This window comes from Homo sapiens, chromosome 11 (genome assembly GCF_000001405.40).
Source record: "Homo sapiens chromosome 11, GRCh38.p14 Primary Assembly".
Classification (NCBI taxonomy): domain Eukaryota; kingdom Metazoa; phylum Chordata; class Mammalia; order Primates; family Hominidae; genus Homo; species Homo sapiens.
Genome location: NC_000011.10, coordinates 86,401,383 through 86,421,364, shown reverse-complemented (window position 1 = coordinate 86,421,364; position 19,982 = coordinate 86,401,383). Strand labels below are relative to the sequence as shown.

General features: G+C 39.1%; 1 protein-coding gene across 2 annotated transcripts in view; it reads right to left on the bottom strand.

Moving 5' to 3' along the window:
* The window catches only part of CCDC81 (coiled-coil domain containing 81), a 48,220-nt gene that overhangs the window by 1,742 nt on the left and 26,496 nt on the right, over window positions 1-19,982 (bottom strand). For both annotated transcript variants that reach the window (NM_001156474.2, NM_021827.5), the window contains 7 exons: window positions 13,664-13,751; window positions 13,095-13,238; window positions 12,000-12,104; window positions 8,806-8,978; window positions 6,498-6,576; window positions 6,052-6,272; window positions 1,312-1,437 (listed from right to left, as the gene is read on the bottom strand). In NM_001156474.2, the coding sequence (NP_001149946.1) occupies window positions 1,312-1,437; window positions 6,052-6,272; window positions 6,498-6,576; window positions 8,806-8,978; window positions 12,000-12,104; window positions 13,095-13,238; window positions 13,664-13,751 (936 nt within the window). The remainder of the gene's footprint in view (window positions 1-1,311; window positions 1,438-6,051; window positions 6,273-6,497; window positions 6,577-8,805; window positions 8,979-11,999; window positions 12,105-13,094; window positions 13,239-13,663; window positions 13,752-19,982) is intronic.

Sequence of the window (19,982 nt, the reverse complement as noted above, 5' to 3'; positions counted from 1 at the left end):
GCACTCCAGCCTGTGCGACAGAGTGAGACACCATCTCAAAAAAAAAAGGATTATCAAGGGCAGTCTTAAAAGAAAAAAGAATAAACTACCTTGGAAGTGAGCAGGGGAAGACCTACCTGGCTTGGTAATGGAACAGAGTATCATGTGCTAACTGCATACATATGGACTTTGGTTTTACTTTTGCTTTATTTTCTTTTTGTGCCAACCAATTCCTTCTTGCTACTGCTGCGTGCTCAAGTCTCTGTCCACACTTGGCCTAGGTCCTCAGAGAAGTCTGCTCCACGATATACCAGGAGTAGATTTGTTAGCCTGCCACTCAACATTATTTCCTGTGTCTCCTCAGTCCTTTATCACCATGTTGGCCAAGCACTCTTCCTAGACACAACTAAAATCTCCCTGGCATTAATCTCACTGACTTTTACCTGCCTTCCCAAATCACTGAGAAAATTGAAATCCCCAACTGCCCTTTCCTCTCCTTTTCTCTAAGCCAAATGAGTCCACTTCTCCTTTGGAACCTATTTTCCACGTCATCACTCATACTTTCATTGTCACAAAATATGGGTTCTACTCATTAGAAAGACAGGTGAGAAATGCTTTACAAGAAAACCTAAAAGGAAAAGGAGAGTTACAGATCAAGATCCATTCTACAAATTTTATCCATGATTAAAAACTGATAATTGGCAATTTAAACTATTATTTTGGTATATTTGGGTTTTAATAACTTGATTGTATAGACTTGATCTGTTTCATCACATTTTTAACATGCTATAAAATCATACCTTACATTCGTATTTTAATTTTTTTTCAAGATGTAATACAACAGTAGTGATGTGAATATTTAAGCTGAGGATTGGGCAGGCATATAATAATTTCAGAAAGATGCTCTTGGTTGGCTCCATAATAGGCATCTTACTTTTCCAATTGCCAATCTTACAACCCCTGACCCTGCTCTTAAATAACGATTCTCTAAGCCTTGAAAACGTTCAGATTGGAAACTCACTCCCCCTACTTCCAAATAGTTATTTCCAAAGAGAATCTTCACTCTCCACAAAAAGCAAATAAAGCCACCCTAAGCAGAGGCAAATATTAGAGCACGGTTAGTAAATACCTAGCATACAACTCAGCATTCTCCAATCCCATGTCTGTAACAGACATTTCTAATCAATCACGGCAGTATTTCCCATGGAATACAGACTTGCTTTCTCCACAAGGTTCTCTAGGCAGCCACTGCTAATCAAGTGGAGTTCCACTTGAAACCTGTTGCTGTCCCACAAGGAGCAGGAGAATTTTGGGGTTCCAATCAGGCATTACCGTTCAAAAGCCTTGTCCTCCAGGTCTCGCTGCTTCTTCATCGCAGCACTCCTTTCCCAGTCCTCCTGTAAGCATTGGTTGACTCTATTTACTCGCTCCAGCTCAGCGGTTCTGTCTGCCAAGTGCCTGGAGAGAAAAGAACAGCCTGGCTCCATAATACTTGGAAGAGCATGCACCAAATTTGGGAGCCCCATTCCTTTTATGTTAAACAAAAAAAACCTTCTGGTTTTGTTCACTACTCTGAAATATACTAAAAAGCATGAACACTGTAAAAGCATACTGAAATTCCTAGCTCTCAAATAATTTATGGATCAAAGGTCTTTTATCTTCAATCCTGGTTTGATTTAATAGGATTGAAACCTTTTTCCAGTTAACAACTTCAACCTGTAAAACCATTAATTTCCTTTGAGGCTAATTTAACTTATCTGAAGAATCATCCCAAATGGATTTCCTATACTCTGTTTCTTTCCTTTTAGTCCAGCCTCTCAGCTGCCAGTACTCAGCCTACCAGTCACTGCAGACATATTACAAGGCAAAATAGATAGGTATACAAATGAAAGTCTACAAAAAGAGAAAATAAACACAAGTGACTAAGCAAGGGAAAAGAAAATAGAGAAAACATTAACATTGTGAAGAAGGCAAGAAAATAAAACAGGAATGTTTGGTGAAGGCCATGTCATCGAAGAAGTGACTGCAGTATAATCTCTGTCTTCAAAGGGAGATATTCCCAGTGTTGTGTTTCTATCACTGGTCTCCAAACACTCCATCACTACTGTTGTGAATCACCTTAAGCCTGGTTCTGATTATGTGTCTATTTCTTGCTAAACTGAAACCTTTGCTGTCAGTTCTCACTGAAATCTAGAAGGAGCTTCACAAAATGTAACTGTTGATGTAGCCTGCTCTGAAGGGCTTTGTGTTACAGGTACCAACGACCACTGGGTGTCAGGATCCTCCAATAAAAATCAGTTAATGTCCTCTATACTGTCTCACTTTTTCCTTAAACGGCACACCTTTTCATCTAACAAGCATTGATTGAACAGCTATTGTATGGTTATTATAAAGACTAAATGATACACAGGAAGTGCCAGTGCCTATCATGTAACTGGAGCTCAATGACTGAAGAGTACCTATTACTTTTTTCATAAGTTATTTTTCTTTTCGTAGATTTTTTTTTTGTGGTTTAAAAAAACACATAACAAAATTTACTATCTTAACCATTTCCAAGTGTACAGTTACTTAGTGTTAAATACATTCATGTTATGCACCCAATCTCCAGAACGCCTTCACGTTACAAAACTAAAACTACACCCATTAAACAACTCCCCATTTCTGCCTCCTCTAGCCCTTGGCAACCAACATTCTACTTTCTGTTTCTATGAATTTTACTTCTCTGGATAACTCATATAAGTGGAGTCATACAGTATTTTGTCTTTTTGTGACTTGTTTATTTCACTTAACATAATGACCTTGAGGGTCATCCACAGTGTAGCATGTGTTAGAACTTTCTTCCTTTTTAAAAGTGAATAACAATTCCATTGTACAGTGTATATATATACCCACACTACATTTTGTTTATCCATTCATCTGTCGGTGGACACCTGGGATGCTTCTACTTCTTGGCTGTTACAAAAAGTGCTGCTATGAACATGGCTGTACAGATATCTTTTGAGATCAGCTTTCAATTTTTTTGAATACATATCCAGAAGGGGAATTACTGGATGATACAGTAGTTCTATTTTTAATTTTTTGAGGAACCACCATACTGTTTTCCATAGCAACTGTACCATTTTATGTTTGCACCAACAGTACACAAAGGTTTCTACTTCTCACTAACGCGTGTTATTTTTTTTCATAGTAGCTATCCTGATGGATGTGACATGGTATCTCACTGTGATTGTGGTTTGCACTTTCATAATAATTTGTGGTGTTAATCATTTTTTCATTTGCTTGTTGGCCATTATTATGTTATTTTTTTAAGGATAGGTTAAAATAATTTTAAATGCCCAGAAAGTAAGAAAATGAGGCAGAGATTGTGCAGGGGACAACTAGCATTCTCACAACATTGCTGAGAAGCGAGTTGCTATGCCTTCTTAGAAATGTAACTGTCAGTTTCTGGTAATATTTCAAATGTATCATACATTAGCCAGGAGTGGTGGCATGCACCTGTAGTCCCAGCTACTCATGAGGCTGAGGCATGAGAATCACTTGAACCCAGGAGGCAGAGGTTTCAGTGAGCCAAGATCGCACCACTGCACTCCAGCCTGGGCGACAGAGTGAGACTCTGTCTCAAAAAAACAAAAAAAAAAAGGAAAATTAGATGTACCGTACATTGGACACAGCAGCCCCACTTTTGGGAATTTATCTGATAGAAACAAAAGAACCAGTATAAAAATATATATTAAAAATGTTTAATACAAAATATCTGGAAACAAAGTGAATGTTCATCAATAATGCAAAAGTTAAATTATTATACATCTATATTATAGATAATATGCTGCTATTAAAGAAGAATGAATCTCATATATATGTACTGAGTTGTATATGACATTGCTAGGTTAAAGAAAGATTAGTTTGCAGAGTAATATATAAGATCTCATAGACTATTTCATTTACAAAAGTAGAAGGAAAAATATATGTGCATATTGCTTAAAAAGGAAAAATTGTTTAAATTTTTTTATAAATAATTAAGGTTAATATGTAACCTACTTTTAAATTATTTTTTACAAAAAAAATTTAAAAAATTTTCCTATTTAAGCAATATGCACATATGTATTGGCTACTTAGTAGGGGAGATTATTAACCTTTTTTTTTTTTTTTGAGGCAATCTCTGTCGCCCAGGCTGAAGTGCAGTGGCGCAATCTCAGCTCACTGCAACCTCTGCCTCCCAGGTTCAAGCATTCTTGTGCCTCAGCCACCCGAATAGCTGGGATTACAGGCGCACACCAACACGCCCAGCTAATTTTTGTATTTTTAGTAATGACGGGGTTTCACCATGTTGCCCAGGCTGGTCTCAAACTCCTGGGCTCAAGTGATCTGCCTGCCTCGGTCTCCCAAAGTGCTAGGATTACAGGCATGAGCCACCGTGCCCGGCTAACCTTCAATTGACTTCTTTTAATGAGCATGAATTGTTACTTTTGAAAATAAGAGCAAAAAGAAAAAAAACAAGTATAAATAGCTTAGCAGTCCTGTCTGGATCACCCTGACTAAATTATCCCCTCTGAAAGAAAGTGGCCTTCTATGAGTCACAAGACAATCTGAGATCACATGTTAAGATGAACCAGAGAAGGACCAGGGAGTTGGAAAAGATAAGGGAAGTGAGAGAATCTGCCATAACCAGTAAAGAATATGTAAATAGAAAACAAGGATCTGACCAATACAGAAACAGGGATGTGTTCAGAGCTTTACAGTTTCCGAAAATGCTCTCACATACATAATCTCATCTAATTCTCCCAGTAAGGTTAGGAGGGGCAGATGTGATTATCCTTCTTTCTCATATGAGGACAATAAGGCTCAGAGACCTTACATGTGATCTGGCCCAAGTCATACAACTTAAAAGTGACACTTTAACCCTCCAAGTTTAGGAAATAACTAGAGAAGCCAACAGATAGAAGCAGAAGAGGAAGTAGCAATAGTCTTAGCAACAAATACAGAGGGTCCCATATCTGGCTATGGAAAGCACACTTTGCTTCCCACTATGGGACAAGTGATGGTGGTTCTGCTGTTATAAAACAGAAGCTAAAGAGGAGCTGAATGCTTACCTAAGGGAATAAATTTTTTTAAAAAATCAGTGGGAAAGACATCTTCCTTTCAGGCATGTTTAGGCTTTACAAATATATCAGATAAAGGACTTATATACAGAATATATAAAGAACTTTCAAAACTCAACAATAAGAAAAGAGTTTATAAAATAAGCAAAAGATTTGGATTGATACATTATACCCTTAACCAAAGAAGATACACGGATGGCAAATAGGCACATGAAATGATGTTCAACATCACTAGTCATTAAAGAAATCCAAATTAAAGCATGAGACACCACTATGCACCTGTTAGAACAGCCAAAATTAAAAAGACTGATCAGGCTGGGTGCTGTGGCTCACACCTGTAATCCCAACACTTTGGGAAGCTGAGGCAGGAGGATTGCTTGAACCCTGAAGTTCAAGACCAGCCTGGGTAACATAGTGAGACCCTGTCTCCCCAAAAAGTTTAAAAATTAGCTGGGCGTGCTGGCACTCGCCTATAGTCCCAGCTACTCCAGAGGCTGAGGTGGGAGAACTGCTCGAGTCCAGGATGTTGAGGCTGCAGTGAGCCATGATCATGCCACTGCACTCCAGCCTGGGTGACAGAGCAAAACCCTGTCTCAATCAATAAAATAAAATAAAGACTGATTACACCAAGTTCTGGGAATGATGGGGAGGACTAGAACTCTCATATGCTATTGGTTGGGAATGTAAAGTAGTACAGCCACTTTGGAAAACACTAAAGTGTCAAGAGAGGTTTTTAAAAATTTATTTAATAACATTTTCTTCATATAATGAATTAAGATAAAACAAGATGAAGCATGTAATAAGTTTAAAACAATGCCTTGCACAAATAACTCCTCAGTGTGTTAGCTATTATTCTTATTTCTCCACTATTGTATGAGAAAGATGAGGGGCAGGGACAGGGTGGAAAAAGAGAGATAAAGGAAGCGGAATAAGTGAGGAGAAGTGGAGGGAGAAAGATCAGGGGTCTCCTTACTCTCTTTGTGTCCTCTGAAGCATTTGCAAATCCCGCCTCTGGTCCACTAGTTGATGCAGGATGGCTTTCCTCTTGTGGTTAGCAGCTGCCTCCAGCTGGTGTTTCATGTAATTTTGTTCTCGCTTTTGCTTTTCCACCATCAGTTCACCCTCATTCTTACCAAAGATGGGCTCAGAGGAGTCTGGCTCAAAGGGGGGCAGCCGAGAGGGTTTGTTCTTTATCTTAAACAGAGATACACATAATGCAGGTTATCATTCTACCAGGGAATAAGCTTTATGCACAACCCTGTAATGTGGTAAAATACCAGCATCTTACAGGAAGGAATGCGGGGCACAAAAACTACCAAATGCATAACACATAAAAATATTCGTAACAACTTACACATATTTTAGGATGTTATTGATGCATTGCATAATTTTAAAAATAATATTTGTCTGTCCCCTTACCTGTGCATCCAAAGCTCTCTTGTAACACTGTGTTTCTTCCATCTTATCTTTTAAAAATTTCGCTCTTTGCGCAGCAAGTCTGGCAGTTAAGAACAAGAGAAGATGGACCACAGTTTTGCAGTCTTTAGTAATATGGATTAACATCATCAAAACATGTTTAATAAGTATTAAATAGGAACAAGAGTCTGGTAAATAAAAATTGATGTTTTATTCTGGTAGCTTTCATTTTAAGAAAGAAAAGAGTAATTCAAATCCATAGGCGGCCAGGCACAGTGGCTCATGTGTGTAATCCCAGCACTTTGGGAGGCTGAAGTGGGCAGATCACTTGAGGTCAGGAGTCCGAGACCAACCTGGCCAACATGGTGAAACCCTATCTCTACTAAAAATACAAGAATTAGCCGGGGGTGGTGGTGGGTGCCTGTAATCCCAGCTACTCAGGAGGCTGAGGCAGGAGAATTGCATGAACCTGGGAGGTGGAGGTTGCAGTAAGCCAAAATCACACCACTGCACTCCAGCCTGGGCAACAGAGTGAGACTCCATCTAAAAAAAAAAAAAAATTCCATACGCTAGTGAACAATGTGCTGAACACAGGACAAACAAGTATAGGCAGGTGACCGACCATATTGTCCAAATGCCTTACTACTAAAACAGCAGACACATCACCACCACTCCACCTCTTCCCACACCCACCAGTTCTTTTAAAAATCTACATAAGAAAGCAGGAAGTGACTATTCATTCTATAAACTGATTTATTTTGAAATCTCTTAAGTTACCTATCCTATTAAAAATTATGGTTCTATTATATGTAACTTCTAAAGAACCCATATATGATCTTTCAAGTGAGTATAATGGAACATATACATTTTATAGAAATAGATTTTTTTCATCACAGAAACTTGCTTCTTATTTGTTTTAGGAGTTTCTGTTCACACTATAATGGCCTCCATAGTTGCTCTCCCAATCTCAGCAGCAAAAATGTGGGCCCCCTTAGGCATATGTATGTAAGCAGAGGGAAAGCCGCTCTACATGGATTTTTAGTCTCTGGTTCCAGTCCTTCCTATGTTCCCTGTACATTCCTGCCCTCAGGTTCCATGGGACACCCCTACATAATTATAATAAAACCTCAGCTTTGCCATGAGGTCATTTGAACATCTAATAGCTAAGAACAGCTGCTCAAGACGAGTCCCTTTCTTCATCTACTGGTATTGGCGATTGCAAAAACAATACAAAATGATGCTCTATATTATAGTAATTACAGATTGACCATCACTACCATAATGATAACTATGACAGCTTTTTCATTTTTGTAATAAAAAATTGTGGTACTGATACAGAAGGGAAGTGCTGGGAAGGGAAGAGCGTGGTCCCTTTAAACGATATGGAAGTGGGGAAAGGGCATGGTCCCTGGCTAGGGCTCCACCCTAGGACATGGTCCCTGGCTAGGGTTCCATCTGTGCCCACGGACCTAGATGAGGACAGGCATTTTTGTTTTCCTGCCTAAATGTTGCATTTCTCAAGACCACCCTGGCCTGCCACACCCCCATCCTGTGCCTATAAAAATCCCCCAAGACCCTAGCAGGCAGGCACACAAGCGGCTGGACGTCGAGAGAAACACATCAGCAGAGGAACACACAAGTGGCTGGATGCTGAGAGGATGTCCAGAGCACATCAGCAGGCCATCAACCAGTGGAATGACGTGGAGTTTGGCTGGGGTGGTTGGAGGGGAACCCGGGCCGCACAGCAGCCCGACTCAGGGGAATACCATCTCCTTTCTGGCTCATCCATCTGTTGAAAGCTACTTCCACTCAATAAAACCTTGCACTCATTCTCCAAGCCCACATGTGATCCAATTCTTCTGGTACACCAAGGCAAGAACCCTCGGATACAGAAAGCCCTCTCTCCTTGTGATAAGACAGGGGTCTATTGCGCTGACTAACACAAGCCACCTACAGATGGCTAAACTAAAAGAGCACTCTGTAACACATGCCCACTGGGGCTTCAGGAGCTGTAAACATTCACCCCTAGATACTGCCGTGTGGCCAGAGCCCCACAGCCTGCCCATCTGTATGCTCTCCTAGAGGTTTGAGCAGCAGGGCACTGAAGAAGCAAGCCACACCCCCACTGCATGCCCTGCGAGGGGGACGAGGGAACTTTTCCCATTTCAGTACTGGCTGCTAACTGGGTTAGTTTGCTCAGTTGGTTACAGTGTGCTAATGAAACTACCAATGCTGATTCAATCCTACATGAAAAGTAACTTCACATGAAAATTCCAAATCCATTTGTCAGAGCGTGTGTAGCTGGACTCACTCCTCTGTGAGTTGCACTTGTTCCAGGCGGTCCATCAACTCTCTGTATTGTCTTTGCTTTATTTCGTTTTCCTGTCTGTTATCCATTTGTTTCAGGAGACTCCGGGAATATTCCTCTTGCTTAAGAGCATTAAGCGCAGGACTGAGTGGCCGTTTGTCAAATAGGAAGGATTTCTAGAATGAAAGAGAAGCAATTCATTTATGCTAGAGTACTGAAAAACAAGGTTAATAATTCAGAAGACTAAGATAAATCAGAAAGTATTTCTTAATTTATAATATTTGCCCAGCCCTCAACACACGGACCAGCTGGTGTTGAGGTAACACATAGAATCATATGAGTGTGTTCAAGGATGAAGCTGAGCTGAGCTGTGTTACCAAAACACCAGGGGTTTGGTCTAGGTGCTCACAGCACAGAAAGCCAATCACTGAGACAATGATTATTGCCAGGGAAGAAGGATTTAATTGGGTGCTGTAGCCAAGGAGATGAGAGATCAGTCTCAAATCCATCTCCTTGACCAACTAAAAGTAGGGGTTTATATAGCAGGGAAGAATTGAAACTATGTATGGGAAAACCAGAATTCGGGAGGGATAAGGAAGCAATCATGGTCAATGGAGGGGCCTGGCTCATTGTCTGAATGCAATCATCTGGTGAGTTTCAATTCTTTGACACTTTTTGGAAGGCCTAGTGGTTCTTTTCTGAGGAAGAAACTCAGATAAAACAATGTTAAGTTTCAAGCTTTAAGACCAAAAGGGTCAATTTCTATGTTTATTTAAAACAAAAACAAAAACAAAACCTGTCTGTGGGACTATTGGGTCAGTTTCAACTGGAATCCCATTGCTGAGACAGAGATGAAAAAGGACTCCTGGAGTAGGTTGTGAGTTAGCATTTACAACATCCAGATGGAAGGAAGAAGGAATTCTGAGTGCATGCGAAATCATGCAAGGACAGAGAGGAGCTGAAAGGAGGGCAAACTGAATACCTACTGTGGGCCTGGCCATTCTAGACCCTGGTGATCCAACAGTGAGCAACAACAGAGATCTTCGCACTCATCAAGCCTGCATGCTGATGCAGGAGACAGACAATGAGCAAGAAACGGTACATCAGGTCATTTAAGATAGTGCTAAGTGCTAGGAAGCCCTTATGATAGCAAGTGGCTGGGTGGGAAAAGAGCTAAACTGGTTGGTTATTAGGGAAGGTTTTTCCATGGAGAAAATGAATCACCTTCACTGTAAATATCAGGGAGACCCGTGTTCCATACAGAAGGAACATTAAGCGCAAAGACACTAGATGGAAACAAGCTAGGCATGTTCAATGAGCAGAAAAAAAGTCTCTGTGGCTGAGGCATAGTGACCAAGGGAAAGGAGAAGGCATAGTGACCAAGAGGAAGGCAGGAGTCAAAGCGTGTAGAATTTGATAGTTGAAGGTGAGGAGTCTAAATTTCATTTTAACTCAATGGGAGGCCAGTGGAGGTTTTAAATGGGAGAATAGTATGTTTTGGTTAACAATATTATAATATCACTTTGGCTGGTGTGTGGAGAATAAATTATAGGAGAGCAAGAATGCAAGCAGTGAATCTAAGGGAAGTATTGGAGAAGTTGAGCATAACAATGTGGCTTGGCAACACTTTCAGTGTGGCAACATTAAAGATGAAGACATTTGGACAGGTATTGGATACATTTTGGAGGTAAAGGCAACTGGACTTGCAAATGATCGGAAGTCAGGAACAGAGAAAGGAATATTGTGATCATGACTAAATACAGGTTTGTGCAAAAATGGCTGGTTGGTGATGCCACTTACTAACATGAGAAGACAGAAAGGAACAGGTTAAGGAGGGAATCAAAAGTTCTGTTTAGGTCTTTTTAAATTTAAGATGTGTATAGATATATCAAAGAAGAGATACACAGCAGTAATAAATATAATCTGGAGCTTATATATAAAGAGAGAGAAAGATCATGCCTAAATTTCAGAAGCCCCATGCTCGCTCGCTCTCTCCTTCCTTCCCTGTTTCCCTGCCTGGAATGCTCTTCCTCCCTTGATTTCTTTACCTAACTCTTGTATGTCAGAAAGTCTTTCCAGATCTCTGGTCTAGGTTAATGAATCTCTTCTTTTGCTCATATAGTGCCCTTTTTTCAGAGATTTATCATCGCATTTATTATACCACACAGTTGTCTCTTTAAGTGTCTGTCTCTCCCACTAGAGACCTCTTCAGAAGAGGGAACCTTGTATTCCTAGACACCAGCACAGTGGCTGGCCTGGAGGAATTCAATAAATGTTTGATGATGAATAAATAAATTATAATTTATTAGATTTATGTCCGGAGTGTCGACTACCTAGATGGTGATATATAAAGAGGAAGATTCAGGCAGAAATAAAGGTAGGCACATGATGATTGAAAACATTAAAACAAGCAGTGAAGCAGTTGGCTCACCACCATCTGAATCTGAGTTTCTCAAACATTAATGCAAATACAAATCACCTGGGGATGTTATTCCACCATAGATGCCCATTCAGGGAGTCTGGGGTGAGGCCCTAGATTCAGCATTTCCAGCAAGTTCCCAGGCAATGCTGATACTGCTGGTTCTCTTAGGTCCTTGGGCTGGACTTTAGTAGTATACTGCTCCCTCCTCTCCACCCATCCCACGTCCTGGTTGAGAATTACCATAATTAACAAGACCTGCAGTGACTAGTAGGAATGGTACAGTGAATGTGAGTGGTGTGGCTATAGACACTGGACAACACCTGCCCTAGAAGAAAGCTTCAAACTGCACCACCCACTTTTCAACTCCGCTGCTTAAAAAAAATGGCACAACTGGCTGGGCATGGTGGCTCACACTTGTAATCCCAGCACTTTGGGAGGCCAAGACGGGCAGATCATGAGACCAGGAGTTCAAGACCAGCCTGGCCAACATGGCGAAACCCTGTCTCTACTAAAAATACAAAAATAGCGGGGCATGGTGGCGGGTGCCTGTAATCCCAGCTACTCGGGAGGCTGAGGCAGGAGAATGACTTGAACCCGGGAGGCAGAGTTGCAGTGAGCTGAGACCACACCATTGCACTGCAGCCTGGGTGACGGAGCAAGACTCCATCTCAAAAAATAAAAATAAAAAATAAGGCACAACCTGCAACACAGGGAGTGGATCCAAAGGCTCACAGATGGGCCAGGTGTTAGCAACAGAAATTTTTAAAAGACTTACATAAAATTCCGGTTTCTCATTCTTGTGGTTTCTTATAGCTTCAGCAACTCCAAGATTATAGGCAGCATTTTTCTGATTCTGTTCTCTAGTAGCCAGACTTTTCATCTATTGTTTAAAAAAAAAAAAAGTTTATTTTTAAATTTTAAATTACATATTGAAGTGGAGCCCCCAAAAATTTTAATTCTATTACATTAAAATAATCCAGCCATGGTAGAAACCTGCCTTTTGGAGGCAGTGGTACTTTCTGATATCTCTATAGATTTATAAAAGTAGATTGGGAAAGGTATTTTATTTCCTTTTCTTGGCCTTTAGGTACCACCACTAGAGGGATCTAAGGAATGGAAGAATTCATCACAAATGCAGGAAAGGGCAGGCAGCAGGGTCAATTATTAGACACCACATAAATCTGGATACAGCAAGTGTAAAAGTGCCATTCTGTCTTTGCTTGAAATAGGACATGAATCTGAAGGGTAAAAGCCTTCACCAGAGTTATATTTTATCAGAAATAAAGAAACATAAATCCAATAATTCCACCTTTAAAATTCAGACCTTAGGTTAAAGAAAATCAGTGATATGTGCAAACATTCGACTGCATGGAATTCATCCCAGTGTTGTTTATTATTAGTGAAAACTTCAACGCAAGTTTTAGTCTAACAGTAAATACGTGATTAGATATCCCACAGTACAGACATATGATGGAACATTTTTAAATTACATTATAGGCTGGGCTCAGTGGGTAATGCCTGTAATCCCAGCACTTTGGGAGGCAGAGGCGGGAGTTGGAGCCTCTGGATGCTTGAGCCCAGGAGTTGGAGACCACCCTGGGCAACATGGTGAAACCCTGTCTCTACAAAAAATACATAAATTAGCCAGGTGTAGTGACGTGTGCCTGTAGTCCCAGCTAATCTGGAGGCTGAGGTCGAAGGATCATCTGAGCCCAAGTAGGTCAAGGCTGCAGTGAGCAGAGGTTGTGCCACTGCATTCCAACCTGGGTGACAGAGTGAGACCCTGCGCCAATAAAAAATAATAATAAATTACATTATATAATCATGTTCTATTGCCCCATATTAAAGACTAATCGAGGTGTTGGACTACCTGGTGTCTGAAGAGAGCCTCCTGATCCTTTAACATCTGATACTGCTGTATGAGTCTCTCATCTTCTATCTCTCTCCTCCTTTCCTCACTGTAGTACAACAGGGAATTTCGTTGTGCTCGTTGCAAACATACATAGCACATTTCCTACAATCCCAAATTTCAGGACAAATAAATTTTTACATTTTACCTTTTTGCTTTCGCATTCCCTTCACAAGCTCTCCAAAGGCTAGGTATATCAAGAAACCTATTATTAATGGATATATTAGTGACAGCAAAATGAGATTTGCAGAGTGGACCCCAGAAATACTCTAAAGGATCTTCTGAACTCTCACTTCATCAGAAGTATTTATAGCAGCTGAAACTTAGAAAGGGATTTCTCAACTCTTTTTTTGTTTACCAGTACATCTTGACTAGTAGATAGATTTATCACAGTCTAGTTTTGAGCCTGAGTACTTGAGTACTTGAGCCATACTCATATAATTAAGGAAGAGAGATTCCCAGAACTCTCTTTGAGAAACAAAAATCAGTATAAGATTCTGATGGGACTTATTTGTTTGGAAACACTGTACCTGTCCTGCCTTGTTATGATCCTGGCAAGCTGGAGATGTTTGGGGCTTCATCTCACTGTCGTGTTTCAGACAACTTGGATATGATAAGCTATAAAAACAATGCAACATTAATTAATGTTTAATACAATCTGACCTCAAGGGCAATAATAATTTTAGAGGCAAGTATAAGATGAAGAAAAATATTTCAGTGGTTTACTTCAAAACAGCTATATGTATAGAGGTTAAGAATATGTACCACAGAATCTGAATTTGTGTCAGATAAAGGTGGGTTTGAATCCCAGCTTTCTTGCTTGCAAGATGACTGACATCAGACCAGCTGTGTAATCTTGCAAAGTCCCAGTTACCAGTCATGTGAAATGGGGATGAAATGTATTCATTCCACAGAAATGTATTGAGTGCTTACCATGTACACTGTTCTAAGCACAGGAGAAGCAATGAAGAACAAAATACACACATACAAAAGTCCCTGCCCTCATGGAATTAACATTCTGATGGGGATAGACAGCCCAGTGACAAGATAAATAAGTGCACTCTATAGTATGTTCCATGATGATAAATGCCTTGCAATGCTGGAGGAATGGAGTGTTAAACTGTAAAGAGAATGGCCAGGGAAGTTCTTACCAAGGAAGTGACATAGGAGTAAATACCTGAAGGAAGTAAGAGAACAACAGTGTAGATATCTGATGGAAAAGACATTCCAAGCAAACAAACCAGTGCAGTCCTTCAGGTGGAAGGTGCCTATGGTCAGTGTGGTGGAGGGAGATGAATTAGGGGTGAGTATTAATATTAATACTAGTATTAATTCATTAGAAAATAGGACAGATAGTATCACCTAAAAAGCAGCTCGAAGAATGAAAATATTTATTTTTTAATTTTATTTATGTTATTTTATTTTTTGAGACAGAGTCTCGCTCTGTCACCCAGGCTGGAGTGCAATGGCGCAATCTCAGCTCACTGCAACCTCTGCCTCCCAAGTTCAAGTGATTCTCCTGCCTCGGCCTCCTGAGTAGCTGGGATTACAGGTGCACACCACCATGCTGGGCTAATTTTTGTATTTTTAGTAGAGACGGGGTTTCACCATATTGGTCAGGCTGGTCTCGGACTCCTGACCTAGTGGTCTGCCCACCTCGGCCTCCCAAAGTGCTGGGATTACAGGCATGAGCCACCGCGCCAGGCCAAGAATGAAAATATTTAAAAGTAGAGAAATAGAGAACAGATTCAGAAGCTCAAACATGCATTTAATAGAAGTGCTGAATTTTTAGAATAAAGGAAATGGCAAAGAACAATATTCTAGAAAATAACAGATAAGAATTTTCCAGAAAATCATGACTCCTAAGAATAGTCATGCAGAACATCAAGAAATAAGAAAGATTCTTAAAAGCTACAAGAAAGAATGACAACCAGATTGATTCGGACGTTGCATCAGGACAACTGTCAGGAGAAAATGGAGCAATATCATTAAAATGCTGAAGGAAAATAACTGTGAACCAAGAATCAGCACTCAAGAGCGACAACACAGTAAGAATCATTTTAAGCAATACAAAGAATAAGTGTACTGAAAAGACAGGGAACCATTACAGGATATACTTTAGCAAGAAGAAAAATGAACCTAGGAGGAAGGACAGGGATATAAGAAACAGGCCAGGCATGGCGGCCCACACCTGTAATACCAGCACTTTGGGAGGCCGAGGCAGGTGGATAACTTGAGGTCAGGAGCTCGAGACCAGCCTGGCCAACATGGTGAAACCCTGTCTCCGCTAAAAATACAAAAATTAGCCAGGCATGATGGTGTGCGCCTGTAATCCCAACTACTCAGGAGGCTGAAGCAGGAGAATTGGTTGAGCGTGGGAGGCGGAGGTTGCGGTGAGCCAAGATCACGCCACTGCGCTCCAGCCTGGGCAAAAAAAAAAAAAAAAGAAAAAAGAAGAAATGATGGTGACCAAAGAAATTGGTAAAACATGTTGACAAATCCAAATTAATCATTGACCATAAAATAATACAAAATGTTTTAACACTTAAAACCAAATTGGAACAAAAGTTCTAGACAAAAAAAATACAGGTTTGGAAGGGGATACAGTTTGAAGGAAATTGAAAGCATACTGAAGAAACATGGTCAAAGGAAATTCAAAGCATACTAAAGAAATGAGATCAGTCCAACAGAAAAGGGGTAATAATGAAGTTAAATGCACAGTAAATAGAAAATACAAAATAAGACAGTAAAGATAGGTTCAAATATACCAATAATTACAACTGAAATTAAAGTCTAGATTGAGTTTTAAAACATCCAAATATAAGCTATTTAGTAGAGACACACATGAAATAATAAAACACACACAAAAATTCTTAAAATGGCATTAAAAGGCTATTCCAGGTAAATACTAATCAGATGTTGCACTGTTAATTACATAGTACAGAAATGAAGGCAAAAGATTTTAGTAGAGATGAAGGAAAATATTTCATAATGATAAAAGGAACTATCTACCAAAAAAAATCCTAGACATGTAGAATTTAATATTGCTTAAGAAGCAAAAATTGATGTAATTACTGAAAAATATACCATCATGGTGAAAGATTTTTAATATCTCTCTCAAAGAAAAAAATAGTGAGGATTTAAAAGCTTTTAACAACTTATTTTAACAAGGTTTAGCTAATATCTAAATATCTAGAAATTTACATCTAAGGAATAGTAGTATACAATGTCTTCAAGTATACATAAAACAATTACTGTAAAAGTACTCAAGCTAGAAAAGAAGGTTCAGCAAATTACAAAGTACCAAATAACTAACATTAAATGAACCACAGCATAAAATGAGAAAGCGCCCCACTACAAACCTCTATTCATTTGGAAAAAGTAATAAAATGTGTCTTCTGAATAACCAATGAATTAAGTATTGTATAAGTCTACACTCCCTTACTGCAATTCCAAAATGCAAATGCTCGACTCTGACCACACTGGTCATGTTTTCTAATTTCTTATACCTTGTTCATACTCTCCATTCTTTTAATTTATGTAAAGATTTTAAACATCTTATTCTATATTCTGTATTTTATAATATTCAGGATCCACAATCCTTGAGAGCTCAATTCTTCCATCTTTTGTTTCTGATGGCTCTCATTATGTGGCAGCTTATTTCCATGTGGTCTTTGTAATTTTGGATTCTGACTTCATTTTTAGCCCAACTCCATCTGTCAGAAGTCAGGAGCCTGAGATGAAAATAAGATCCTTTAGAGCAGGGGTTGCAAAACTTTTTATGAAAACAGCCAGAGAGTGAATGTTTTAGGCTTTGAGGGCCATACAGTCCCTGACACAACTAGCAGGTACAGATAATATGCAAATGGATGGGCATAGCAGTGTTTCGGTGAAACTGTTTATAAAAATATATGGTGGACTAGATTTGGCTCTCAGTAGAGGACCTTTTCAGATTATTTAGACCACCATATTGCTATAAGCAGAACACTTTATTTTTTAATAACTTCTCTTAGGCCTCAAAATCTGGGGTGGGGCGAATGCTGATTCCCTAAAGGTTTGATTTAAATAACCTGTCAGATGCAACTGACATGAGGAAGTAATAAGAAATATGTCTCAATCTGGTTTCTTATGATCCAAGAGGATTCATTTGTATTTTTTTTAATCCTCTAACTCGGAGTGAAAATTTTACAGACTCACTAACCACTACATGCCCTTCAGCACCAGCCAAATTTGCACTTCCTATAGTAGTCCCTATTTTGAATAATGGTGCCATCTTCTCCCAGTTACCTAAGCCAAAATCTGGGGTCATCTTTGACATCTCCTTCTTAACCTCCCTTAACTAATCCCCAACAAAGCTAAAGCTTTCCATCTGATCTTTGTTTCATACCCTTATTACCTTTCCCCAAACGAGTTATACTCAACTGTTAAACAATGAAAGTCCTATCCTTCTTAGTTTAAACAAATGTTACTCAAATCCCAATAATATAAAACAGAAAAACAGCACACATCCTCCAGTGGAAGTGAGGAAATAGAGCCCAGAGTCCCACCCATATTACCTCACTCTCAGCCTTTGATATGCTCTTAAGGCCCTCTGAGGCCTTAGGGTCATTTGTTGGAAACAGATTGCCTAGACTACTGCCTTGATCTGCTAAATTGTGCTACACTTTTCCATTTTATTACACCTCTTCCTCTGCTGCTAATCTTATCCCTCTAAATCATTCTTTACTCTTCTAAAAGAATATTTTTTTCAAAATGAAAATGTAATCATGGACTGACATTCCCAAACATGGTGTTTGGGGACTTGGACAGGTTGGTAAATCAGAAAAGATATATTTTAAACTTCTGTGCACTAAATGGTGCAGAAACAAAATTAAAAAGAAAAAAAAGAATTGGGAAAATGTTTAAAACATACACATCAGAAAACTATTCATACTTATGATATATGAAGTTCTCTTTATAAAAATACAACTTTTTTTTAAGAAAAAGTAAAGCTCCCAGTTAAAAAAGGACACAGGATTCAAGCAGGAAAACTGTAAAAGAACTACAAATGGCCAAGAAACAAGATAAAAATAAATGCAGGCCAGGTGTGGTGGCTCATGCCTGTAATCCCAGCACTTTGAGAGACCGAAGTGGGAGGATTGCTTGAGGCCAGGAGTTCTAGACCAGCCTACACAACATACTAAGACCCCATCTCTACAAAAAAAAAAAAAAAAAAAAATCAAAAAATTAGCTGGTGTGTGGTGGTGCACACCTATAGTCCCAGCTACTCGGGGTCTGAGGCAGGAAAATCACTTGAGCCCAGCAGGTTGAGGCTGCAGTGAGCCATGATCATGCCACTGTTCTTTAGCCTTGGTGACAGAGTGAGATGCTATCTCAAAAACAAAACAAAACAAAAAAACCCACTAGAAATCAAACAAACATAGGTTAAAAACAATAATGAAATACCATCATTTCACTTTGCTATGGTATTAGCAAAGCTGTAGAAAATATAGCACTCTCTCATATTACTGTTGCTGAGAGGATAATTTGCTACAACCATGAAGAAGATAATTGGAAATGTGTATCAAAGGCATGAAAATGGACTCACCTCTTATCTCTGAAATTTAACTTTAAAGTTTTTATCCTATGGAATATCCAGTTGTATGCAAGGAATTATGTTTAATTATATTTTCACAACATTATTTATAGTACTTAAAAACTGGAAGCCATCTAAATATCCAATAGGAGATTGGTTAAACAAAAGGTTTAACCTTTCATTAAGATGATGTGCAATTATTTGTTAAGGTTTTAGAATATTTAATGTCATGGGGAAATCACCACTTATTAAATGTAACAAAAATCCATATAATATCTCAATTTTATTTAAAAACTGTGTATATTCCAAGTGTAAGTATCTGTATATATTGTATATGCATTGAAATAAACGACATACATCATAAGGTTAATATAAAGTTTCCTCTATGTAGAGGGATTATGGGTGATTTTTTATAACTCTTGCTTTTTTGGTTTTCTCAAAATTTCTATGATAAACGTGTTGTTTTAGTAATCAGCACAAAAAAACATTTTTTGGTTAACTTCTTTTTTTTTTTTTTTTTTTGAGACAGAGTCTTGCTCTGTCACCCAGGCTAGAGAGCAGTGGCACTATCTTGGCTCACTGCAACCTCCACCTCCCGGGTTCACGCCATTCTCCTGCCTCAGCCTCCCATGTAGCTGGGATTACAGGCGCTCACCACCACACCCGGGTAATTTTTTTTATTTTAGTAGAGACAGAGTTTCACCGTGTTAGCCAGGATAGTCTTGATTTCCTGACCTCGTGATCCGCCTGCCTCGGCCTCCCAAAGTGCTGGGATTACAGGCGTGAGCCACTGCGCCTGGCCTATTTTTTGGTTAACTTCTACAGGAAACAAACATTTTTGAGTCAACTTCTATAGGAAACCTTTACCAACCACTTCCAACAATTACTCTGTCCTTTTGCAGCCTCTGTACTTTTGTTGTCTTCGTCGCATGCATTTTTTTTTTAATTTCAGTCTTCCTGCAACACTGTAAGTTTTATAAAAGCAGGTTTATACATCTGTAACTCTGAATCTTCAGTGCCTAGAATATTACCTGGCACATGGTGGTGCTCAATATTTGTTGTATTGAATTAAATTCCCAAGTACTATACATCTAATTCTCAATTATCTTTCATAACAGTGATATTATCCAAAACAAGCATTCCTAGAGTTTTTAACATGACTTTAGTAATCCACAAAGTACATAAATTGCACATATGATAGCTGATAAATTTTGACACATTAATAAATTAAAGGTTGGCAGCACAATGCAAAGTACATAGTTAGGTGCTCAGTA